This window comes from Homo sapiens, chromosome 1 (assembly GCF_000001405.40).
Source record: "Homo sapiens chromosome 1, GRCh38.p14 Primary Assembly".
NCBI classification, from domain to species: Eukaryota; Metazoa; Chordata; class Mammalia; order Primates; family Hominidae; genus Homo; species Homo sapiens.
Window position 1 is genome coordinate 147,215,070 of NC_000001.11, and position 26,680 is coordinate 147,241,749.

At 42.9% G+C, this 26,680-nt stretch overlaps 2 protein-coding genes and 1 pseudogene across 17 annotated transcripts in view, besides 2 other annotated features; 2 read left to right on the forward strand and 1 right to left on the reverse strand.

Moving 5' to 3' along the window:
- FMO5 (flavin containing dimethylaniline monoxygenase 5) overlaps window positions 1–12,215 on the reverse strand; it is a 42,980-nt gene extending 30,765 nt beyond the window's left edge. For 3 of the 16 annotated variants that reach the window (NM_001144829.3, XM_011509350.4, XM_047416278.1), the window contains exons 1-3: window positions 10,208–10,270; window positions 9,826–9,997; window positions 685–873 (exon numbers count right to left, since the gene is read on the reverse strand). In NM_001144829.3, the coding sequence (NP_001138301.1) occupies window positions 685–873; window positions 9,826–9,960 (324 nt within the window). In that variant the 5' untranslated portion in view covers window positions 9,961–9,997; window positions 10,208–10,270. Of the gene's footprint in view, window positions 1–684; window positions 874–9,825; window positions 10,271–10,504; window positions 10,560–10,659 lie in introns of those variants that run through there. The other 13 variants (XM_005272947.6, XM_047416285.1, XM_005272946.6 and 10 more) reach the window with 9 other exon arrangements.
- CHD1L (chromodomain helicase DNA binding protein 1 like) overlaps window positions 1–26,680 on the forward strand; it is a 123,016-nt gene that overhangs the window by 42,323 nt on the left and 54,013 nt on the right. The gene's annotated exons all lie outside the window — the stretch shown is intronic.
- RPL7AP15 (ribosomal protein L7a pseudogene 15) lies at window positions 8,464–9,335 on the forward strand (annotated as a pseudogene).
- Window positions 23,100–23,244: an enhancer, noted in NCBI's record as "145 bp enhancer 9 fragment used in the MPRA reporter construct; PK_construct_2155". NCBI's record gives its function as "activates an SV40 promoter by MPRA in HepG2 cells {active_cell/tissue: HepG2}" and the evidence as "EXISTENCE:reporter gene assay evidence [ECO:0000049][PMID:23512712]".
- Window positions 23,166–23,179: a transcriptional cis regulatory region, noted in NCBI's record as "HNF4 motif; enhancer activity is reduced when this motif is scrambled". NCBI's record gives its function as "necessary for full MPRA enhancer 9 activity {active_cell/tissue: HepG2}" and the evidence as "EXISTENCE:site-directed mutagenesis evidence [ECO:0005528][PMID:23512712]".

Sequence of the window (26,680 nt, forward strand, 5' to 3'; positions counted from 1 at the left end):
TTTATGGTCATGATCAGAAATTATAGAAAAGTCCTAGAATACTTTAGAGCAGGAAGGAACCACAGAAGTGATCTGGTACAATCATCTTGTTTTACAAACAAGAAAATTTTTAAAAATTGAAATTGAGGAAATTGCTTGTCTAACATCTAAGTTAGTTAGTGGTAGGGCAAGCACCAGAATTCAGGTTTTTATTCTGCAATTCCATGTTCTCCCCTCTACACCAGAGTTAACTACCCAAGAGCTATACTTTACTGGGTTTTTATGATGTTCATGTAAACAAATATATTGGAAAGTACTTCAGAAAGTACAAAAGGGCTAAGCAGTAATGGACAAGTTGTGGAACCAGAGAGTTTTAAAGTTCCCATACCTATCAGTTCCCTTCTGTAATGGGGAAAACATTTCCCTTCATCTGTTTATTGCAATCAAATAATGTGAAATGAAGGTAATGAAAACACTCTGCCAGCTGGCTTCCTGTATCTGCAGCCAAAATATATGAAAGAGAGACTGTCCCTTGAATATTTTTGAGGAGCAAAGGAGGACAAAGAATGGAGTTTTTGCCTGGGTAGGATAAATACATGTGCAAATCAAGCCAATCTTTAGAAGTAAACATTGGTAACTGAAACCACGTTATTCATTTACTTGGCAAACAACTTCAAACACAAAGATACCCACACAATTTTCTACCTTAAATCGAATATACTTTAGAAGGTCAAATTCTTTGGCATACATCCTGAAATACTCCAGGACCTGGGCATTATGCATGAAGTTGGGATAATGATCTGGGATTGGATAGTCACTGAAGCACATCATCTCTTTAGAAGTATTGATGATCACTGATTTGTAAATACTGGCCCTTCCTTCTTCAGGATTTTCCTGCAATAAATAGAAAGTATTCATAGCAACTTGAGGATCATCTTCATGTTTTATAATAGCCAATAGACATCTGAAAAAGTTTTCTGAAAGAAGTGTCAATTAAATCACACACACACCTTCCAGTATTTGTGCCCTTATGTAGTCCCTTCCCCTTGAATCTCAGTTATCTTTATGACTTGCTTTTGACCAACAGCATACAGTTGAAATGACACTGAATGGCTTCCAAGACCAAGTCATAAGTAGCCTTGCGGATTCTGCCTGGGTCTCAGAAAGCTCGCTCTGGTAGAAGCTAGCAGCCATATGAGAAATCCAACTACCATGAGACCACCATAGCTTGAGGAAGTCCAGCCTCACCACATGAAGAGAATGTCTGGGACAGAAAATATATGGCCAGTCCCCAAAAATTCTACCTATTCTATTCTATCCCAGCTGAAGTTCTAAACATGTGAACAGAAAGTTACTAACACTGAGTAATAGTCTTTTAAATGAGTAACAATGAGGCAAAATGGGAAGATACACAGGAAAGAGTGTAACAGTTTCCATATACTGGAAAGAGTATAACATCTCCAGCGTTTTCTGGAGAGCAGTGTTAAAATGTATATGAAACTCCTTGCAATTTACCTAGCCTTTTAAAAAAATATTCAGCATCGCTTAGGAAGATTTATGTTAAAGGATGTTAATACCAGCATTATTCATAATACAAAAATGAGACAAGCTAAATGCCCAAAAAAACAACTGAAATTTGAGAACCACTGCTCTAGATCCTTACTACCAAAGTATGGTCTGTAGACTAGCAGCTGGGGCTTCCCTTGAGAGATTGTGTTAGAAATGCAGACTCTCAGGCCCCACCTCAGACCTACTGAATCAGAACCTGCATCTTAGCAAAATCTTCATGTGATTCAGAATTCAGATGCTCATGCAAACTGAGATGCACTGCATTAAATGACATTAATCCTCAATTCAGTGTTCTTTCCCCTACAACAAACTTCTTTGCATCCTCAAAAACTTCCTATTGAGGCCGGGCGTGGTGGCTCATGCCTGTAATCCCAGCACTTTGGGAGGCTGAGGTGGGTAGATCATCTGAGGTCGGGAGTTCAAGACCAGCCTGACCAACATGGAGAAACCCTGTCTCTACTAAAAATACAAAATTAGCCGGGCGTGGTGGCGCATGCCTGTAATCCCAGCTAGTCGGGGGGCTGAGGCAGGAGAATCGCTTGAACCCGGGAGGCGGAGGTTGCGGTGACAGAGATAGCGCCATTGCACTCCAGCCTGGGCAACAAGAGCAAAACTCCGTCTACAAAAAAAAGAAAAAGAAAAAGAAAAAAAAACTTCCTATTAACTATCTTATAGCATTGTTGTGGTGATCACATAAAGTAATGCAATGATGCAATCTACCCAGCCTGTCACCGAGATTTCACAAATGAGGAGTTTTCAAATTTTTAGATTTTCAAAAATTGTTTTGACTATGGAAAATCACCTTAATCAATTTGGATCTCCTCCTCCCTTTTTATTCTAGAAATGAACAGATATTGAGATATTGAGTATTATGAAACATTAAATAGCCACAAAGGAGAGTGTTTGTTGTTTGTTGGCTTTGTCCACCTTTAGGATTGTTTTTCTCCCATTTTTATTGCTTAATTATTCAATCTAGGAATCCTAAATTGATCATTCCCATTTCTCTGACCTATAATCCAACATCTCATTTCTTTAACTGCTAATAACATTTTCATAAGACTCCTTTGAAGTCTCTTCTTCTAATCTAGCCTACCTGTTTCAACCAAAGTGTTCTCTCTAAGGTGTGGCTGGACTAAATCTCTGCCCTAATTAAAATTTTAGATGTTTTCCCATTTCCTGCAGAATAAAGTTCCTATTTCTCAGCTTAGGATTCAAAGACCTCCATAATGTTTTGTAGTGTATTCCTTATCTCTCCAACTAGATTGTAAGCCCCTTGAATTGTACTCATGGTTTTCCCCACAGCATCCACAATGATAAATAGCACTCAATAAATGTTTAATGGATGCATATCAAATTGTATTGAGAAAGGGATATACAGAATAAGATGTAAGTTTCACAAAATGCATAAGAAAACTAATAAAATACATCAACATTTATCTCAAAAAGACTTCAATAAGATATATGTATCTCCCAAAATTTTGTCCCAAGAAAAATTTCAAAATAATATAAAGTCAAATGCATAGATATATTTTTGTATAACTTAAATAGCAATTAATTAGTAACAATGTTAAATGTTCCCAAAATAGATGAATGGTTTAGTAAATTATAGTATCTCAACATGCAGAATTTTTTTTTTTGAGATGGAGTCTCACTCTGTCGCCAGGCTGGAGTGCAGTAGCACGATCTCAGCTCCCTGCAACCTCTGCCTCCTGGGTTCAAGCAATTTTCCTGCCTCAGCCTCCCGAGTAGCTGGGCCTACAGGCACGCGCCACTATGCCTGGCTAATTTTTTTTGTGTTTTTAGTAGAGACGGGTTTCACCATGTTAGCCAGGCTGGACTCGATCTCCTGACCTCGTGATCCGCCCGCCTCAGCCTCCCAAAGTGCTGGGATTACAGGCGTGAGCCACCGCGCCCAGCCTCAACATGCAGAATTTACCTTCCACACCACTCCATGGGTATCCTGATAAATACAAAGTAGATCCTGCCACTCCACTGCTTAATAGTTTCTCTTGATTCCATATGGAAAACAAAATTCCTTATTTTGAAATTTAGCACATTTCACAATCTAGCCCGGTTTATCTTTTAATCTTCATCCAGTGTTGTCCTTATTTAATCTCAAATTTCTAAGTTATTAAATTGTTCCTGAAACACTCTAGGCTCTTGCACAACTTTAAACCTTCGTAAATATTACTATTTCTTCATCTGGAAAATTTCCTGTCCTTCAAGAGTTACATCAAATGTCACTTCCTTCAACAAGACTTTTCTAATTTCTCCAGAGAATTAGATTCCGCTATTCATCCTCCAAGCTCCCAAAACTCTCTGTTCATATTTCTATAAAGATAACTTAAACACACTATATTATCAGGCATTTGTTTCCATGACTGTGAGAAACCCGAGAGTAGCCATATCCTTCTTTAAATCTCTATTATCAGGACCTGGTGTGTACTGGATGTGCAATAAATGCTTTGAAATGAATTAGTTAATGAATTATGGAAATTGAATTTGGAGACACCAAAAACTATGATTTTGAAGTCTGTGCAGGAACATTAAAAATGGCGTATGATATAATGAAGTACAAAGGGAACTGTAAAATTAAATTTACATTCTAATCACCAAATATGTAATATTATGTCTATCTATGGGTATATAATTATACTTGTATAATCGCTCCCTGTTAGACATGTCTCTTTTGAGTATACTTCATTTATTTGAAATAGAAAAAAATGTGAAAATACAGAAAACCAGTCGACTTATTAAGGCAGTAGGATTGCTTTCTTTTTCTTTTATTTTTGTTAAAATGTTGTTTGTACAACACCCATTCATGATGAAAACTCTCAGCAAACTAGGAATGGAGAGAAACTTCCTCAATTTGATAAAGAACATCTACAAAATACCTATAACCAACATCATACTTAACAGTGAGAAATTAGACACTTTTCCCCTAAGACTGGGAACAAGGTAAGGATGTCCTCTCTCACCACTCCTATGGAACATTGCACTAGAAGTCTTAGCTAGTACAATAATAGAAGAAAGAAAAGTAAAGGATATTCGGATTGGGAAGGAATAAAGATAACTTTTTATTTGCAGATGACCTGACCGTCTATGTAGAAAATCCCAAAGGATTAAAAAAAAAAAGTAAGAAAAAAAGAAAAAAACTCCTAGAGTCAACAAGTGAGTACAGCAGGGTTGCAGGATACATGGTTAACATACAAATGTTAATTGCTTTTTTTTTTTTTTTTGAGACAGAGTCTCGCTCTATTGCCCAGGCTAGAGTGCAGTGGCACAATCTCGGCTCACCACAACCCCTGCCTCCCGGGTGCAAGCAATTCTCCTGCCTCAGCCTCCGGAGTAACTGGGACTACAGGCGCATGCCACCCTGCCCAGCTAATTTTTTGTATTTTTAGTAGAGATGGGGTTTCACTATGTTGGCCAGGCTGGTCTCGATCTCCTGACCTCGTGATCCACCCACCTCGGCCTCCCAAAGTGCTGGGATTACAGGCATGAGCCATCGCACCCAGTCATTTGCTTTTTTATATACTAGAATGAACAACTGGAATTTGAAATTTTAAAAACTCCATCTATAGTAATACCCCTGAAATTACATACGTAGGTATAAACATAACAAAATATGTATAGGATTTATAAGCATGAATTAGAAAACACAGATGAAGAAAGTCTAAGATTTAAATAAATGGAGAGATATTCTGATTCATAGACTAGAAGATTAAATATTGTTAAGATGTCAGTTCTTTCCAACTTGACCTATAGATACAATGCAATCTCAATCAACATCCCAGCAAGCTATTTTAGAATCCAAGCTAACACATGGATTCTAAAGTTCATATGGAAAGACAGAAGGCCTAGAATAGAAGACTTTGTCCTTAATAGTGGGCTGTGCATAGTGACTTTGTTCCAAAGAGTATAGTATGGCAATGGAGAAAAAAGGAGCAACTTTACAGTGTGGCAAAAACTGACAAACGCTATTTCAAGCCAGGACATCAAGGTTAACATCAATAGTGATATTATCTAGGGTTTTTATAGTTTTAGATTTTACATTTAACTTTTTAACGCATGTTGAGTTGATTTTCATATATGGCAAAAGGAAGGGATCCAGTGTCAATCTTCTGCATATGGCTAGCAGTTATACCAGCCCCATACAATTTATCCTTGTAACAAACTTTCATATGTACCCCCGAACCTAAAATAAAAGTTGGAAAATGAAAAATAGAAAAGTGGAACAAACTTACACTTCAACAAAGATATATTGTGGCATATATTGAATGCTAATTTCTTACTTATAATAACATAAAATGAGTTTTAAGTTTCCAAAAAAAAAAAAAAACAGTGGGTATAATGTGGATAGTATGTACCCTTGATGGGAGGTGAGGAGAATGGCACCTTATAATATTCCTCCCCAAAAGTCATAACCCCAATTTAACCATGAGAAAAAAATAAGATAAATCCCAACTGAGGGATATTCTACAGCATACCTGGCCCCAAAACTATCAAGGGCATCAAAAACAAGGAAAGTCTAAGAAATTTCATAGCCAAAAAGAGCCTAAGGAGATATGACTATTAAATGTAATGCAGTATCCTGGATGGGATCCTGGAACAGCAAAAGGCCATTAGGAAAAACTGAGTAAATCTGAATAAAGTATGGACTTCAGTTAATAATAATGTATCAATATTGGTTCATTCATTATTTAAAAACGTATCATACTAATGTAAAATGGGGTAACTGGACATGAGGTGTACTGTAATTCTCTGTATTATCTTCCTAATAAATTTTGTAAGTCTAAAACTGTTCTAAAATTAAAAGCTTATTTAAACATGTTTGTACATAAGTGTATATATTTTTTAATTAAGGTAAATTAATGAATGGCAAGGTCATTTTGGAATTAAGATGTTTGCTGTATGGAGAGCAGGTGAGGCATGTTCCTAACTTCTGAATTTCATTTCATTTATTCATTCAAGAGATATTTAGAAAGTCCCTCTGTAATAAAATACTTTATGAGGTACTGATAAATGCAAGTCTGTATGTGTATTCCAAAAGTTCAACGTTTACAAAGAGTAGAGCCATCCTATCCACAGCAGGTCTGTTGGGATCACTGAGTGAAATGAATGACAGATCTCACCTCTTTGAGGTACTCCTATATTTCAACTCTTTTTCAAATCACTAACCACAACAAGTGTTATCCTGTGTCAACAACATCCTTCAAATCCTTCGAAACACCTGATTGGAACTTAGGTAAGGTTTACCACTGTGCCAATCCACTGCTTTCCAAAAGAGTGAGCACAGAGCAGTATTGGGTTAGTGAGTAGAAGAAAAAGAAGCTTCTGCTCCTGCATTTTACAATTTTCTACCATTGATGAATAAATCTTCTCTCTACAAACTCTATACACTGATTATATTTCCTACCTAGGCACAAGGCTCACACATTTGAGCAGGAAGTCTGTGTAAGAAAAGAGAGGCTAGGCACGGTGGCTCATGCCTGTAATCCCCACACCTTGGGAGGCCGAGGTGAGCAGATCACTTGAGGTGAGGAGTTCGAGAATAGCCTGGCCAACATGGTGAAACCCCATCTTTACTAAAAATACAAGAATTAGCAAGGCGTAGTAGTGCGTGTATAATTTCAGCTACTTGAGAGGCTAAGGCATGAGAATCACTTGAACCCAGGAGGCAGAGGTTGCAGTGAGCTGAGATCACGCCACTATACTCCAGCCTGGGTAACAGAGTGAGACTCTGCCTAAAAAGAAAAGAGAGAGAGAGCAGGGGATGGAAGTTGGGGAAATTGGAACTGATGGGATTGGAAGAAGTAATAAGGACAGAAGAAAGGAGAAAAATTTAAATGGGAGGAATGAGGACAGTTTGGGGCTTCTGTTCCTGTCAGATTTTCAAAATCCCATGGAATAGAAACTCTCTTTGAACTGTTGTCTGCACATTGGAATCATCTGGGGAGCTTTAAAAAATGGAGATAGTAGAATACATGCTTGGCTCTAGAAATATAACGGTGAACCACACAGGTGTGGTCTGTTGGAACAGAAGTCAGAGCGTTATGATGAAACACAGCTTATTTATTTTCAAGGAAGCAGTTTACAAAGTGTTAAAATTTTGCCAAGTGGATAATCAGAAGAAAAACCTCCACGTTAAGTCTTTAGCAGAGAATAAGTTTAAACCACATTGGAGATAAAAACCAGAAACTTGATAATCAGACAAGATGATGGATGCCCTCCCAACCTCCTCCCATCCTCAATTGATTTCATGCCTTTTCAGTAACTGCCAAAACTGGCTAAGATGCTTAGTAAAGACACCACATGTGTGAGTCCCATCCTAGGCCTACTGAATAATAACCAACATGTAACACTATGTTCCTGGCACTGTTGTAAGTGATTGGCATAATTATCCATTCACTTACTCCTGACAATAACTCTATAAAGTGGATACTATTATTATCCACTTCTTAAAGATGAAGAAACACAGGTACAGAGAAGCTTAATGATGTGCCCAAAGTCACACTGCTAGTAGGTGACAGAAATAAGGTTTGAGCCTAAGACTGCATTCTTAACCTCCATACCATATTGTGGCTGGATTTTAAGAGCAGAATTTTCTGCTGTTTACTAAAAACAACAGGCTTTTAGCCCATGTCCAAGACTGATGATGATACACGTATGCAGGTCAGCTAAGGGGATCCACTCCAGATCTGAATAAGGATGATTGTCACATAAAATTAGTCCCCAAAACAGAGTCAGGGTGCAAAAGGATTGTATTTCGGTTCAACTAAGAAATGCTATAAAGCCACTTTTATGTAGCTGGCCAACAATGTGTTAGTTTTTATGAAATATGAAACGTAAAACTTATCTAGGGCACCTCAATACTATTAAATGTTCAGAAAACTAGCTTAAAAGCAAACCCGTTCTCCTCTAGCCACCCAAGATGCCAATAGGAAAGAAGGCTAAGGGAAAGAAGGCGGCCCCCGCCCCTGCTATCAGTGAAGAAGCAGGAAGACAAAAAAGTTGTGAATCCTCTGTTTGAGAAAAAGCCTAAGAATTTTGGCATTGGACAGGACATACAGCCCCAAAGAGACCTCACCCTCTTTGTCAGATGGCCCCCCTATATCAGGTTGCAGCAGCAAAGAGCTATCCTTTTATAAGCTGCTGAAAGCACTTCCTGCCATTAACCAGTTCACCCAGGCTTCGCACTGCCAAACAGCTACTGACTGCTTACGCGGGCCCACAAGCACAGACCAGAGACAAAACAAGAGAAGAAGCAGAGACTGTTGTCCTGGACTGAGAAGAAAGCTGCTAGCAAAGGGGATACCCCCATCGAGACACCACCCGTCTTTCCAGCAGGGGTTAACACAATCACCACCTTGGTGGAGAACAAGAAGACTCAGCTGGTGGTGATTGCACACGATGCGGATCCCATCGAGCTGGTTGTCTTCCTGCCTGCCCTGTGTCCCAAAATGGGGGTCCCTTACTGCATTATCAAGGGTGAGGTAAGATTGGGATGTCTAGTCCACAGGAAGACCTGCACGACGTTGCCTTCACACAGGTTCACTAGGAAGACAAAGGAGGTGTGGCTAAGTTGGTGGCAGTTTTCAGAACCAATTACATGGACAGATATGATGAGATTCGCTGCCAATGGGGAGGCAATGTCCTGGGTCCTAAATCTGTGGGTTTGAATCACCAAAGTGGAAAAGGGAAAGGTGAAAGAAGTTGCCACTAAACTGGGTTAAATGTACACTGCTGAATTTTCTGTAAATAAAAAGAATAAAAATTCTCCTTCAAAAAATGTAAAAATAAAAGCAAACCCAGCAAATCCAATGCATGTCAGTTTGGAGATCAATAAAGGTGGCTGGTATTCTTTGGAATATAATAAGTTTAACTATCTTTTTTTAATTTTTTTCCTTGAGACGGAGTCTTGCTCTGTCACCCAGGCTGGAGTGCAGTGGGGCGATCTCGGCTCACTGCAAGCTCTGCCTCCCAAGTTCACCCCATCCTCCTGCCTTAGCCTCCCGAGTAGCTGGGACTACATGCACCCGCCACCACGCCCGGCTAATTTTTTTGCATTTTTAGTAGAGACGAGGTTTCACCGTGTTAGCCAGGATGGTCTCGATCGCCTGACCTCGTGATCCGCCCGCCTCGGCCTCCCAAAGTGCTAGGATTACAGGCGTGTGCCAACCGCGCCCGGCCACCTGACACTGTTAAGATAAACTGTCGTATGCACCTAGTTGCAGGGAGGGTTTCAAGTATTAAGGGACTAGGAGATGTATGTACCTGGAACCTCCAGAGCCCTCCGATGTCATCAGTCCTTTCAAAGCAGACAGGTTCCAAGCCTTCTTCTACGCAGCACTTGATGGAAGAGAGCCCGCTCACTCCTCCCCCAATCACAGCAATTCTTTTCTTAGTCATGGTCTCCCGAGATCTTCACCTGTTAGTGTCGCCTGTCCTAAAGAAAGGATGACAAAAGACAAAAAGCACACATCGGTTAACATTTTTCAAGGAAGACCTTGGCCGTGGCATTCGAATAAATTCTGTACAAGAGGTGTCTTGAGGAGGACAGATTCGACGGTCCTCTTCACCAGAGGAAATCTTTCTGCTGGCATGGGGGAGCCCTGCGCCTGCAAGACCCAGAGCTGAGAGTGCTCTGCTGCGGTACCGGATCTCACCGCCTTTCCTGAAGCGCTCAACAGATCCTTCAGCTGCGATCTGGAGGAGACTCAACAGGCGGCTGTTGTCAAATTACTATAAACCAACAACGGACAAACAGCGAGAGCCAACGGGGAGGGGCTGTAGCACTCCACCTCCTTTCAGGGACCACTCCCCCGCCCACTCAGCGGCACCCATTCTCCCTCCCTCGATGGGAATAAAACGTGGGCTGAAGCTGCTTTGGGCGAAAAAGTTAATCCTACAACTTCTCTATATTTCAGCTGCTGTTGCCAGCACTCTCAATTACTTTCTCTGAAACCCCTAGCCCCGTCTGTGCTCGCTTCTGCATCCACTTTTAACTTCCTGGTTTTTGCCTTAAAGTGACAAACACTTCCTAGTGAAGGGAAAACTGTCAACAACCCCAAAGCCAGTTCTACTCCAAATGCTTAAATGAACACCTACCTTTCAGGTGATCTGTTCAAACAGATTGTAGCAGGATGAGCCACAGACAAAACTCCTCAGACACCGAATTAAAGAAGGAAGAGGTTTTTATTCGGCCGGGAGCGTCGGCAGACTCGCGTCTTAAGAGCCGAGCTCCCCGAAAAAGAAATTTTTGGCCTTTTTAAAGGCTTACAACTTTAAGGGGTCCACGTGAAAGGGTCGTGATACATCAAACAAGAGTGGGAAACGTGACTGGGGGCTACAATGCTTTTTTCATACAGTGTCAGGAATTCACAGATAACACAAGTAGTTTAGGTCAGGGGTTGATGTTATTATTATTACTTTTTTTAACTCCTAGGGCCGGGTGGTGGTGCCAAGGTTGTCTGGCAATTTATCTTACTTTTTTTTTTTTCCAACTTTTTGCTTTTTCTCTCCTCCTGTCTTGTGAACGAGGCAAGGTGGTGGGAGGAGGGCAGCAGTAGTAGCAGTGGTCTCCTTCCTTAAGATGATCCTGCCCCCACTTCCGCCCCCGGCTCACCTATACCTCTCTCCTCCCCTCCTCACAATCTGGATCTAAGAATCTACACTTCTGGAAGAAATTTACTTTTAAATCCCCATGCACTGAGCTGAGTGCTGGAGTATAGTGAGGAATGTATTGTTTCCTACTCAGAGGGGCTTACAGATTAGTGGAGGAGACCAAAACATAAACAGGTAATTTTAACGAAATAAAAGTATTTTTAATAGTGCTTTCACACAGTTATATTAGTAACCAAAAATACAAAATATCCACTTCTAAAATGTAACTTTTCAAATATAAAGTCATGTAGAACCACCAATATAACAGATACAAGATTTCAGGCACTGGGTTAGAACAAGGGCCCATCCAGACAAGGGTTCTATTTGACAGATGTGAGGGGTTGTAAGAGGCATGGATTGTGGCTCATGCCTTGGATCCTTGCTCTCCTTCTACCACTCCCTGAGTCAATTTTGCTCTTCCAATCTGCACCTGCTAATCTTGGACTTTTTCATGAGAGGCAACTGATATTTTGTTTGTGCCATTGAATTTTTTGTTGTATTTATAGCAACTTAGCAGACTCTAATTAACATTAATGTGTTTTGGAACTGTCGAACTTTTTTTTTTTTGAAACAGGGTCTCACTCTGGCACTTGGGCTGGAGTGCAGTGGTGCAATCATGGCTCACTGCAGCCTCTATCTCCTGGGCTCAATCTACCCTCCCACCTCAGCCTTCTGAGTAGGGACTACAGCTGTGTGCCACCACACCTGGTAATTTTTGTATTTTTTGTAGAAATGAGGTTTCACTATGTTGCTCAAGCTGGTCTTGAACTCCTGGGCTCAAGTGATCCACCTGCCTTGGCCTCCCAAAGTGCTGGGATTACAGGCATGAGCCAACAAGGCCAGCCTGTAAAATATTTTAAAGACTAATATCTTTCACAAAAGCATTCAACTATAAATGTGAATTTATACTAAAATAGTATCTTTTAAAAATAAAATTCTGAAGACAGTGTTTCAACACAACCATTTTATATGCTAGAAGTTAACTTAAAATGAATTACTTGTAAATTGGATAATTTTGAATGCACTAGAAGAAATGCCTAAAGGAAAACATGAATACTTTTATAAACTGAGTATTAATTTCCTCCTACTGAATCAGTTTTACAAATAATGCAAGAATTACTTTTAAAATGTAGTTAACAATGTAATTTTATTTTAATGTCCCCCTACTTCAATTGTGTCTTATAATTAATTGCTTTTGAATATAGCAAATATGTTTTGTGTTGTATTAAAATTACTTATACAATGTTTTAAACCTTGACTCAAATGTTCTCTCTCTTGCCTAGCTGACAATTTGCAAGTAAGTCAATTTCTTCATTGAAAAATAACTTGATACATCCAAATTAATATACAGACTCAACTCAGTTACTCATGCTATTACTAGACAGCAATATTATGAGTGAGAAATAAGAACAACTAATTCCAAGATAACATATGAGGCTTTTGAAGGAGTGTATGTGTATGGATGCACATGCATGTGGAACTGGGTTTGCAGAGTTTCTGCAAAGGTCCAACCCAGAAAGAGCTTTCAAACAATACAGTCTCACCTCTACTCAGATGCTACCCTGTTTTCTAATTCTTTCTATTACGTTTGCATTTTGCCCATATTCATTCAGCAAACAGTCTCTTTTGGAGGCCCCCTTTGTTTTGAGATGGAGCCTCACTCTGTCGCCCAGGCTGGAGTGCAAGTGGTGCGATCTTGGCTCACTGCAAGCTCCATGGAGGCCACTTTTTTTTTTTTATCATACTTTAAGTTTTAGGGTACATGTGCACAACGTGCAGGTTAGTTACATATGCATACATGTGCCATGTTGGTGTGCAGCACCCATTAACTCATCATTTAATATTAGGTATATCTCCTAATGCTATCCCTTCCCCAGCCCCCCACCCCACAACAGGCCCCAGTGTGTCATGTTCCCCTTCCTGTCTCCATGTGTTCTCATTGTTCAATTCCCACCTATGACTGAGAACATGCGGTGTTTGGTTTTTTGTCCTTGCAACAGTTTGCTGAGAATGATGGTTTCCAGCTTTATCCATGTCCCTACAAAGGACATGAACTCATCATTTTTTATGGCTACATAGTATTCCATGGTGTATATGTGCCACATTTTCTTAATCCAGTCTATCATTGTTGGACATTTGGCTTGGTTTCAAGTCTTTGCTACTGTGAATACTACCACAATAAACTTACATGTGTATATGTCTTCATAGCAGCATGATTTATAATCCTTTGGGTATATACCCAGTAATGGGATGGTTGGGTCAAATGGTATTTCTAGTTCTAGATCCCTGAGGAATCGCCACACTGACTTCCACAATGGTTGAACTAGTTTACAGTCCCACCAACAGTGTAAAAGTGTTCCTATTTCTCCACATCCTCTCCAGCACCTGTTGTTTCCTGACTTTTTAATGATCCCCATTCTAACTGGTGTGAGATGGTATCTCATTGTGGTTTTGATTTGTATTTCTCTGGTGGCCAGTGATGATGAGCATTTTTTCATGTGTTTTTGGCTGCATAAACATCTTCTTTTGAGAAGTGTCTCTTCATTTCCTTTGCCCACTTTTTGATGGGGTTGTTTGTTTTTTTCTTGTAAATTTGTTTGAGTTCATTGTAGATTCTGGATATTAGCCCTTTGTCAGATGAGTAGATTGCAAAAATTTTCTCCCATTCGGTAGGTTGCCTGTTCACTCTGATGGTAGTTTCTTTTGCTGTGCAGAAGCTCCTTAGTGTAATTAGATCCCATTTGCCAATTTTGGCTTTTGTTGCCATTGCTTTTGGTGTTTTAGACATGAAGTCCTTGCCCATGACTATGTCCTGAATGGTATTGCCTAGGTTTTCTTCTAGGGTTTTTATGGTTTTAGGTCTAACATGTAAGTCTTTAATCCATCTTGAATTAATTTTTTATAAGGTGTAAGGAAGGGATCCAGTTTCAGCTTTCTACATACAGCTAGCCCGTTTTCCCAGCACCATTTATTAAATAGGGAATCCTTTCCCTATTTCTTGTTTTTGTGAGGTTTGTCAAAGATCAGATGGTTGTAGATATGCGGCATTATTTCTGAGGGCTCTGTTCTGTTCCATTGATCTATATCTCTGTTTTGGTACCAGTACCATGCTGTTTTGGTTACTGTAGCCTTGTAGTATAGTTTGAAGTCAGGTAGCGTGATGCCTCCGGCTTTGTTCTTTTGGCTTAGGATTGACTTGGCGATGCGGGCTCTTTTTTGGTTCCATATGAACTTTAAAGTAGTTTTTTCCAGTTCTGTGAAGAAAGTCATTGGTTGCTTGATGGGGATGGCATTTAATCTATAAATTACCTTGGGCAGTATGGCCATTTTCATGATATTGATTCTTCCTACCCATGAGCATGGAATGTTCTTCCATTTCTTTGTATCCTCTTTTATTTCATTGAGCAGTGGTTTGTAGTTCTCCTTGAGGAGGTACTTCACATCCCTTGTAAGTTGGATTCCTAGGTATTTTATTCTCTTTGAAGCAATTGTGAATGGGAGTTCACTCATGATTTGGCTCTCTGTTTGTCTGTTATTGGTGTATAAGAATGCTTGTGATTTTTGTGCATTGATTTTGTATCCTGAGACTTTGCTGAAGTTGCTCATCAGTTTAAGGAGATTTTGGGCTGAGACAATGGGGTTTTCTAGATATACAATCATGTCTTCTGCCAACAGGGACAATTTGACTTCCTCTTTTCCTAATTGAATACCCTTTATTTCCTTCTCCTGCCTCATTGCCCTGGCCAGAACTTCCAACAATATGTTGAATAGGAGTGGTGAGAGAGGGCATCCCTGTCTTGTGCCAGTTTTCAAAGGGAATGCTTCCAGTTTTTGCCCATTCAGTGCGATATTGGCTGTGGTTTTGTCATAAATAGCTCTTATTATTTTGAGATATGTCCCATCAGTACTTAATTTATTGAGAGTTTTTAGCATGAAGGGCTGTTGATGTGTCAAAGGCCTTTTCTGCATCTATTGAGATAATCATGTGGTTTTTGTCTTTGGTTCTGTTTGTATGCTGGATTACATTAATTGATTTGCATATGTTGAACCAGCCTTGCATCCCAGGGATAAAGCCCACTTGATCATGGTGGATAAGCTTTTTGATGTGCTGCTGGATTCAGTTTGCCAGTATTTTATTGAGGATTTTTGTGTCGATGTTCATGAGGGCTATTGGTCTAGAATTCTCTTTTTTTCTTGTGTCTCTGCCAGGCTTTGGGTATCAGGATGATCCTGGACTCATAAAATGAGTTAGGGAGGATTCCTTCTGTTTCTATTGATTGGAATAGTTTCAGAAGGAATGGTCCCAGCTCCTCCTTGTACCTCTGGTAGAATTCGGCTGTGAATCCATCTGGTCCTGGACTTTTTTTGGTTGGTAAGCTATTAATTATTGCCTCAATTTCAGAGCCTGTTATCGGTCTATTCAGAGATTCAACTTCTTCCCGGTTTAGTCTTGGGAGGGTGTATGTGTTGAGGAATTTATCCATTTCTTCTAGATTTTCTAGTTTATTTGTGTAGAGGTGTTTATAGTATTCTCTGATGGTAGTTTGTATTTCTGTGGGATTGGTGGTGATATCCCCTTTATCATTTTTATTGCATCTATTTGATTCTTCTCTTTTCTTCTTTATTAGTCTTGCTAGCAGTCTATCAATTTTGTTTATCTTTTCAAAAAAAAAGCTCCTGGATTCATTGATTTTTTGAAGGGTTTTTTGTGTCTCTATTTCCTTCAGTTCTGCTCTGATTTTGGTTATTTCTTGCCTTCTGCTAGCTTTTGAATGTGTTCGCTCTTGCTTCTCTAGTTCTTTTAATTGTGACGTTAGGGTGTCAATTTTAGATCTTTCCTGCTTTCTCTTGTGGGCATTTAGTGCTATAAATTTCCCTCTACACACTGCTTTCAGTGTGTCCCAGAGATTCTGGTACACTGTGTCTTTGTTCTCGTTGGTTTCAAAGAACCTCTTTATCTCTACCTTCATTTCGTTATGTACCCAGTAGTCACTCAGGAACAGGTTGTTCAGTTTCCATGTAGTGGAGCGGTTTTGAGTGAGTTCCTTAATCCTGAGTTCTAGTTTGATTGCACTGTGGTCTGAGAGACAGTTTGTTATAATTTCTGTTCTTTTACATTTGCTGAGGAGTGCTTTGCTTCCAACTATGTGATCAATTTTGGAATAGGTGTGGTGTGGTGCTGAAAAGAATGTATATTCTGTTGATTTGGGGTGGAGAGTTCTGTAGATGTGTATTAAGTCCACCTGGTGCAGAGCTGAGTTCAATTCCTGTATATCCTTGTTAATTTTGTGTCACATTGATCTGTCTAATGTTGACAGTGGGGTGTTAAAGTCTCCCATTATTATTGTGTGGGAGCTAAGTCTCTTTGTAGGTCTCTAAGGACTTGCTTTATGAATCTGGGTGCTCCTGTATCAGTGAGACTCTGTGGGTGTAGGACCCTCGGAGCCAGGCATGGGATATAATCTCCTGGTGTGCCGTTCGCTAAGACCATTGGAAAAGCGCAGTATTAGGGTGGGAGTGACCCAATTTTCCAGGTGCTGTCTGTCGCCCCTTTCTTTGACTAGCAAAGGGAATTCCCTGACCTCCTGTGCTTCCCGGGTGAGGCGATGCCTCGCCCTGCTTCAGTTCATGGTCAGTGCACTGCACCCACTGTCCTGCACCCACTTTCTGACACTCCCCAGTGAGATGAACCCAGTACCTCAGTTGGAAATGCAAAAATCACCTGTCTTCTGCTTCGCTCATGCTGGGAGCTGTAAACTAGAGCTGTTCCTATTCAGCCATCTTGGCTCCACCCCCCAGAGGCCACTTTTAAATGGCATCTTTGTAAGATAGAATAGGCTTGAATCTTGAGGGAGGGCTGCAAAGGAAAGGTGGCTGACAAGCATTGGACTGTGACATGAGTGAGAAATATACTTTTTGCTGAATTAAAATGTGGAGAGCTATTTGTTCAGTAGTAAACCTTAATAAGTCAATCCTGACTAGTCCAAGAGTCATTTCTAGCACAGTGTCTGTTGGGAAAAAGCTGAGTGTTGGGAAGAAAGCTGAGGCAGGGCTTGCATGTCTGACATAATGTCCTCTGGAATGTGTGTAGACTTGCTGGATCCTTGCTTCTAGCCCTCCAAGCTCCTAGAGCGGTTGTATTCCCATTATCTCAAGTAGCAGAACATGTTCCATATAAATGCTAAACCTCAACCTCTCCCTCTCCCTCTCCCTCTCCCCATGGTCTCCCTCTCCCTCTCTTTCCATGGTCTCCCTGTGATGCCGAGCCGAAGCTGGACTGTACTGCTGCCATCTTGGCTCACTGCAACCTCCCTGCCTGATTCTCCTGCCTCAGCCTGCCGAGTGCCTGCGATTGCAGGCACGCGCCGCCACGCCTGACTGGTTTTCGTATTTTTTTGGTGGAGATGGGGTTTCGCTGTGTTGGCCGGGCTGGTCTCCAGCTCCTAACCGTGAGTGATATGCCAGCCTCGGCCTCTGGAGGTGCCGGGATTGCAGATGGTGTCTGGTTCACTCAGTGCTCAATGGTGCCCAGGCTGGAGTGCAGTGGCGTGATCTCGGCTCGCTACAACCTCCACCTCCCAGCCGCCTGCCTTGGCCTCCCAAAGTGCCGAAAGTGCAGCCTCTGCCTGGCCGCCACCCCATCTGGGAAGTGAGGAGCATCTCTGCCTGGCCACCCATCGTCTGGGACATGAGGAGCCCCTCTGCCTGGCTGCCCAGTCTGGAAAGTGAGGAGCGCCTCTTCCCGGCCGCCATCCCATCTAGGAAGTGAGGAGCGTCTCTGCCCGGCCGCCCATCGTCTGAGATGTGGGGAGTGCCTCTGCCCCGCCGCCCCATCTGGGATGTGAGGAGCGCCTCTGCCCGGCTGCGACCCCGTCTGGGAGGTGAAGAACGTCTCTGCCCAGCCGCCCCGTCTGAGAAGTGAGGAGACCCTCCGCCTGGCAACTGCCCCATCTGAGAAGTGAGGAGCCCCTCCGCCCGGCAGCCGCCCCGTCTGGGAAGTGAGGAGCGTCTCCGCCCAGCAGCCACCCCATCCAGGAGGGAGGTGGGGATCAGCCCCTGCCAGGCCAGCCGCCCCGTCCGGGAGGGAGGTGGGGGGTCAGCCCCCCGCCCGGCCAGCCGCCCCGTCCGGGAGGGAGGTGGGGGGTCAGCCCCCCCGCCCGGCCAGCCGCCCCGTCCGGGAGGGAGGTGGGGGGGGTCAGCCCCCCGCCCGGCCAGCCGCCCCATCCGGGAGGTGAGGGGCGCCTCTGCCCGGCCGCCCCTACTGGGAAGTGAGAAGCCCCTCTGCCCGGCCACCACCCCGTCTGGGAGGTGCACCCAACATGCTCATTGAGAACAGGCCATGATGACAATGGCGGTTGTGGAATAGAAAGGGGGGAAAGGTGGGGAAAAGATTGAGAAATCGGATGGTTGCCGTGTCTGTGTAGAAAGAAGTAGACATGGGAGACTTTTCATTTTGTTCTGTACTAAGAAAAATTCTTCTGCCTTGGGATCCTGTTGATCTGTGACCTTACCCCCAACCCTGTGCTCTCTGAAACATGTGCTGTGTCCACTCAGGGTTAAATGGGTTAAGGGCGGTGCAAGATGTGCTTTGTTAAACAGAAGCTTGAAGGCAGCATGCTCGTTAAGAGTCATCACCACTCCCTAATCTCAAGTACCCAGGGACACAAACACTGCGGAAGGCGGCAGGGCCCTCTGCCTAGGAAAACCAGAGACCTTTGTTCACTTGTTTATCTGCTGACCTTCCCTCTACTATTGTCCTATGACCCTGCCAAATCCCCCTCTGCGAGAAACACCCAAGAATGATCAATAAAAAAAATAAATAAATAAATGCTAAACCGTCACAGCTGTAGATCATGAGCCTGCTCTTTTGACCCCCACATTCTCACCACCTGATTCTCTGTTGGATTACCAATAAACAGCGTGGGCTCCCAGAGCTCGGAGCCTTCGCAGCCTCCACAATTGTGATGGCCCCCTGCTCCCACTTTACTTCTCAAACTGTGGTTTTCTCAATCCTTTGACTCTACCGGACTTTGTCACCCCCAGGATCTGGTGTTGGGTCTGATCACCCCAACAGCATCCATTCTATGCCTGCTATGTGCTAGGTACTTTGTTACCCAGAGAGGAGGAAGAGAAAGTGCATATCTAAAAAAGATGAGGAGATAAATCACAGCCATCATGGTAGGCTGAAAACATCGTCCCCAAAGACATCCATGTCCTAAGCCGCAGAACCTGTGGATGTTATAACACATGTAAAGTGCCCACACGTGGCCTGGCATGTAGTTGGAGTTCAAGTATTAGTCAGCATTAATTGTAAAAAATTATTTTGTTTTCTAACTTAAAAATGTTTTTACTAATTTATTTTGAATGGACAAATAACAATTGTCTATATTTATGGAGTAATAGTGAAAAATTTGAAATGACTTCATAAACGTTCATCAAGATGGGGAAGGACTATATTACATATTATATTTAATGAGATGAATTTATACTGACATGAAAAAATTATGAAAGATTTTAACCAGCATGGCCCTTATTTCATTTGTATAGTTTCCATGGCAGAGGGTAGGAATAATTTGGGCAAGCACATTTAAAGCTTCAACTTATATACTAGGGTAAATCACATCCACTCATATTCCACTGTCCAAGGCAAATCACAGGGGTTCTTCCTATTAGGAAGCACTGCAAGTCACATGACTAAGGGCATAAATGTATAACCATCTTGTGGGGAGAAAGTGGATAGTTAGGAACAGTAATACAATCTATCAAAGCTGGTTAGAGCCCACCATGGAGTAGATATCCCACACTGTGTGTGTGTGTGTGTGTGTGTGTGTGTGTGTGTATGTGTGTGTGTATTTCTGTTTACTTTTATGACCCATATCTGTGGGCCACACATATGGGGAAAACACTATGCCTGTAGACACCCCAAGCAAATGAGATTACCATGGAACCTCAATAATGAGGGATAACTTCCAATTTCTTAATTCTCCACTGATGAGATGTGGATACTTGAGTGATCCCCAGGCTCATTCCCAAGTGAAGATTTTCAGTCCTTCGTAATACCTTGGACATTCAAATTTGTATTTAGTTTCTTGTGAAAAAATTTTCATTTAATTTTTACAACAGCATTATAGGATAGCTACTATTATCCTCATAATTCACTATGCATTATGGGCCTTTCAGAAGCACTCTGATTGTTAAAACCCTCTAATTAGGAAGCCTAATTAGACATGCCATTTTTGAGCAATTTGAGGGGATAGAGGTGGGGAACCCCCTTGCATCAAAGTTATAACTGTGCCTCAGGGATAGATACATGTGCAACAGAACCCAGAATAGGTATGCTCATTTTTCAAAACTAAAACCCAGGCTTTATAGGGTTAGGGTAAAAAAAATGGCTTTGGATTCTTGTCAATCAGAGGAAGAAGAAGGTCATAGAGAGTTCTTAGGGTCATAATTTTACATTGCCTAAAAATATTTTAGAGTAGGGTGAATCATGAGAAACATTTTGGCTTCCTATGGTATATTATTGAGACAACCTGTCCCCTACATGGAAATATTGTCACGGGATTCTTGGGGTGTTGCTTTGTGAGACAGAAACCTCTGTGGCCATTGGTACTTTTGCACAAGTTTTGCTCAAGCCTATTGGGCTTGTTTGGTCCATTCAGCCTGGCAGGCTGCACATGGCTCATGCTACCAGCCTGGATCCCATGCCAGCCAAGGGCCAGCCAGATGCAGAGCAGAGAGGGGTGTGTGAGCAAATATGAGGTCCAGCCACTATGCACAGCCAGGCATGCCAGCTGTGGCAAGGCAGGCAGCTCCAGGTGCCAGTATGGGCACTGACTCCCTGTGAGGCTCCAGCTGGACCAGGGGTGCCACAAGCAGATTTCATGGCTGGCACTGGAGAATGCAGTGGTGCCTGGAAGCTTGGAGATGCCAAGAGCTAAAGAGCCCCAAAGAGGGTGTCACAGCCCTGGCTCAGTGAGCTCCTAGGTCTGGGCTTCCCAAAGGGCTGCAGCTCCTCTCTCCTTCTCTCTTCTCTCCTTCTTGTTGCCCACAATGTGGCAAGCAATGGGCATGTTTCAGCCCTGTTTGTGTTACAACTCTTTTAGCTCCACCATTTGGCGGGTCCTGAGTTCTTGTCCTGCGTCCAAGTAGAATGATGTAAGTTGACAAGTGGAGGGTAAGCAAGGTGAAGAGAAACTTTATTGAGTGACAGAACAGCTCAGAGGAGACCCACATTGGATAGTTCCTCTCCACAGGCAGGTTGTCCCATTGAGTGTTCAGTTCTCAGCAGAGAGGAGACCCTGGAGTGGGTAGCTCCTCTCTGCAGTTGGTTGTCCCAATGTCTGCTTAGCTCTCACAGAGAGGAGACCCTGGAGTAAGCAGCTCCTCTCCACAGCTGGCAGGTCATCATTGTCAACTCAGCTCTTAGCAGAGAGTAGACCCTGGGGTGGGTAGCTCCTCTCTGCGGCTGGTTATCCCACTGTCTCAAGTCTGGCTGAGTCTGGGGCTTTTACAGGCCTCAGAGGAGAGGAAGTGTGCGCCAACTGGTCCATAGGCACCCAGATAAAACACAAGTTCTCACTCTGGTTTTTGGGACCAGCAGCCCAGCCTCCAGGCTTCAGGCCCTCCCCAGCTTGAGGGTAGGTCTTCACCGGTGACCTGCTCCCTTCCACCCAGGAGACTGCCTCCTGCTGGCATTCACAGCACCCAAACTGTTTGTGCAAAGGGGCACCTGCAGGCAAGCACAGAGGCTGAGCTGCCCCAGCACCCCCTTGGCCTCCCTCCCATGCTGGCACCCAAAGTCCTGAGGGGGCCAAAGCCATGTGTCAGTGCTGCCTGGAGTGGGTGCACACCTGGCCAGGCTGCAATAGCACCCAGCCTCAGCTCCAACCTTGCTCTGGGAATGGAGTGGGTGCTGGGAGCAGAAAGAGGCCAGGCAATGGGAGGAGACACTTCTTAGCCTGCAGGAATGGGGTGGGAGGTCTTACAGGGCCCCCAAGAGTGCAGAGATGCCCAGGTCTGCAGCTGTGGTTTGAGCAGCTATAGCTGCACCCAGGAGGGTGGGGCTCCTGCCTGCTCCAGGAACCCAAGAGCACAGGGAGGCCGAGTTGGTGGACATGACTCAGGCAGCTGCAGCTGTGCCTGAGAGGGTAGGGCTCCTGCCTGCTTTTAGCCCCAAAGAGCACAGGGATGCCCAGGTCTGCAGCTGCAGCTGGGCAGCCACAGCTGTACCTGGGGAGCAGGAAGCTCCTGCCCTGCCAACTCAGAAGGAGGCAGGGCCTCCACCTGTTCCTGGTTCCCCCAGCTCCATGGAGCTGGCAGCCCTGGTGTGCCACCCCCATTGCAAGTGGCATCATGACAGCAGCTGCTCTAGATAGGCCGTCACTGCCATCAATATGTCACAAAAGTTAAATTTCCAGTTTGGCAAACTCAAAAGCCTTCAGGGACTAGCTGGGCAGATTGCATAAACGTTACACTGCTGGTTGGAGAACATAAAGAATGAAATTCTGGGTGACCAATGTGATGGCATGGCATGACAGTCAAAAGGCATCCAGTTAAAAAGGAAAACACTGTCCTTTCAAGCAAAAAGACCGTGGGCAAATTTTGATGCCTACAATTTCTAAACTATGTTCTCAAAGATTAACTTGATAATATTACTATTTTACAACCTTACCTTTGATAGTAAAAGGGAGTGGCAATTCTCTGAGGTGACTGGGCAAGAGTCCTGTGAAACCAACTTACTTTTTTTCTATACTTCTATACTGTGGTATATTTTCCCTGGCTTTCTGGGTTCTAAATTTATTACATGTTATTTCATGACAAAGAGGTATACTGGCATCAAAAGTCAAAACACAGTTTTTCATTTCTTGCAAGAAAGAAAACCCAAGTTAAGTGTTTTTCATCCCAGCACAAAAATCTTCCACCCATGGGCACGGACCTAATTCTAACCTAAGCTCAAAGTTCCAAGTTCATTTACTCAAGAGGTCTGAATAAATGTTTACTTTGGTCACAGCTTTTATCCAATTTCCGTATCTGACTCACTAGGTGCTTCTAACTGGTGCCCTGATGTTACCTAACAGAGCAAGGATACAACAAACAGCAAACATAATTTGTTTCTTAATCTGTGCTTAATCCATGCTTGTTTTGGTAATGTCTGCACATGCTAAGTCCCACTGACAGTGTTAGTTGGTTAGCATTAATCTTATGGAGTTGCTGTTGCCAAAGGACATATCCTTTCTGTGGAGGAATAAAACAATTAACAAAAACAGCATGATTGTATAACCTGAACAATGAATGAAAAATGAGTTGAGGCTAAATTTTATTCTGGGAGTTAATCACGACTCACAGAAAACACTGGACCAGCTTCCTAAACTTTCTGTGCCTTGGTTTGCCCATCTGTGAAATGCACTCTCTGTACTTCAAAGTTATAACAATCATATGCCCTAGATTTTAAAATTGTTCCACAGGCACCTCATTCAAACATTCAACAATATTTATTGAGGGCATACTATTGTAATGCCTAACCTTGTTTTTACTAACCCTGTTTTTAGATTCTCTCTTTCCTTTAATCACCTAGCCTTGTTTCCACCTGAATTGACTGTCCCTTAGCTAAGAGAGCCAGACAGACTTCATCTTGGCTCTTTCACTGGCAGCCCCTTCCTCAAAGACATAACTTGTGCAAGCTGACTCCCAGAACATCCAAGAATTCAATTAACTGATAAAATACTGTGGCGAGCAATATCCGCAGTTCCCAGGAATTCGTCCAATTGATAACGCCCAAAGCCCCACGTCTATCAGTTTGTAAGAGTCTTAAAGCCCCTGCACCTAGAACTGTTTACTTTCTGGTAATCATTTATCCTTTTAACTTTCTGCCTACTTTACTTCTGGAAAATTGTTTTAACTAGACCCCCCCTCCCCTTTCTAAACCAAAGTATAAAAGAAAATCTAGCCCCTTCTTCAGGGCCAAGAGAACTTTGAGCGTTAGCCATCTCTCAGCCGCTGGCTAAATAAACAGACTCTTAATTCGTCTCAAAGTGTGGCGTTCTCTCTAACTCGCTCAAGTACAACACTATGTGCCCAGCACTGTTTGTACAAATCCAACACATCCCACCAGTTGCTCGGGCCACATCCCTGAACCCAACCTTTGCTTCTTCATTTCTCCCAGATGCTCAATCAGTGAATCCTATAGGCTCTATCTTTTCAATAGATCTAGTAGCAGACCACTACTCACCACTCCACTATCACCATGCTGGCCCCAAAACTATCAACTCTTGCCCAGACTACTGCAATAGTTTCCAAACTGCCTCCTTCCTTCCATCCTGATCATCTACAGATCTCTTCATACAGTATTCAGAGCAAAACTTTTCTATGTGTCACCTCACTGGCAGACCTGGAGTCTCTCAGCTACCTTTCTTAGCTGTATTTTAGGTACCAGACTTAGTATACCAACAGTCTACCTGGCTTATAGCTAGGACTCTATCATCTGGTATTCTGTTACAACAAATGTACTTTAAGTTAAAAATAATAAACAGGCTTATATTTAAGTGGCAAGTGCTTGATATGGCTGCTTTAGCAGATAAGTCTACTGGTAGAATCTAGAGGAGAGGAAATAAGTCATACATGGAGACCAAGATGCAAAAACCACTCATGAGCAGCCACATAGGACAGAGGTCCCTCTGGAGAAGCCACCAAAGGATATAAATCTCTCTTCAGGTTTGTTTTGAGAAAACACCCAAGCAGGAAAGCTGCTGTACAAAATTACTATTGCCCCATTATGCGATTGTGTTTTACTTTTGTCTTAGCATTAATCCTACCTTGTGGGGAAAAGAAAGAGAGCTCAGACTGCTACTGTGTCTGTGTAGAAAGAAGTAGAAATAAGAGACTCCATTTTGGTCTGTTCTAAGAAAAATTCTTCTGCCTTGAGATGCTGTTAATCTGTAACCCTACCCCCAACCCTGTGCTCCCTGAAACATGGGCTGTGTCCACTCAAGGTTAAATGGATTCAGGGCTGTGCAGGATGTGCTTTGTTAAACAAATGCTTGAAGGCAGCATGCTTGTTAAGAGTCCACTCCCTAATCTCAAGTACCCAGAGACACAATACACTGCGGAAGGCCGCAGGGACCTCTGCCTAGGAAAGCCAGTTATTGTCCAAGGTTTCTCCCCATGTGATAGCCTGAAATATGGCCTTGTGGGAAGGGAAAGACCTGACCGTCCCCCAGCCTGACACCCATAAAGGGTCTGTGCTGAGGAGGATTAGTAAAAGAGAAAGGAAGGCCTCTTTGCAGTTGAGATAAGAGGAAGGCATCTGTCTCCTGCTCATCCCTGGGCAATGGAATGTCTCGGTGTAAAACCCGATTGTATATTCCATTGACTGAGATAGGAGAAAACCACCTTAGGCCTGGAGGTGGGACATGTGGGCAGCAATACTGCTCTTTAAGGCATTGAGATGTTTATGTGTATGCACATCAAAAGCACAGGACTTTTTTCTTTACCTTGTTTATGATGCAGAGACATTTGTTCACATGTTTTCATGCTGACCGTCTCTCCACTATTACCCTATTGTCCTGCCACATCCCACTCTCTGAGAAATGCCCGATAATGATCAATAAATACTAAGGGAACTGAGGCTGGTGCCAGCGCAGGTCCTCTGTATGCTGAGCGCCGGTTCCCTGGGCCCACTTTTCTTTCTCTATACTTTGTCTCTGTGTCTCTTTTTTTTCTTAAGTCTCTCATTCCACCCGACGAGAAATACCCACAAGTGTGGAGGGGCAGGCCACCCCTTCACTACCTGATTTTTATTTATTGCTTGTCTCCTCCTTTTAAAATGTAAGATCCAGGAGATAAGTGGCCTCTATCTTCAGTACCATAGAGTGCTTGGCACATAGTATGTAATTCAGTCAGTGTCAGGCCTCTGAGCCCAAGCTAAGCCATCATATCCCCTGTGACCTGCACGTACACATCCAGATGGCTGGTTCCTGCCTTAACTGATGACATTCCACCACAAAAGAAGTTTAAATGGCCCGTCTTTGCCTTAAGTAATGACATTACCTTGTGAAAGTCCTTTTCCTGGTTCATCCTGGCTCAAAAAGCTCCCCTACCGAGCACCTTGTGACCTCTCACTCCTGCCCGCCACAGAACAAACCCCCTTTGACTGTAATTTTCCTTTACCTACCCAAATCTTATAAAACGACCCCACCCCTATCTCCCTTCGCTGACTCTTTTCGGACTCAGCCCACCTGCACCCAGGTGAAATAAACAGCTTTATTGCTCACACAAAGCCTGTTTGGTGGTCTCTTCACACGGACGCGCATGAAAGTCAGTATTTATGAATGACTCAAGACACAAAAATAGCTTCATAAAACAGTGCTTTGCTTGAGTTTTTATGAATAAACCAATCTGAAGTCATCCCTTTTCTAGCTCAGAACAAATTTCTCCCTTTTATTTTAGAGGAAGATGAGAATGGAGG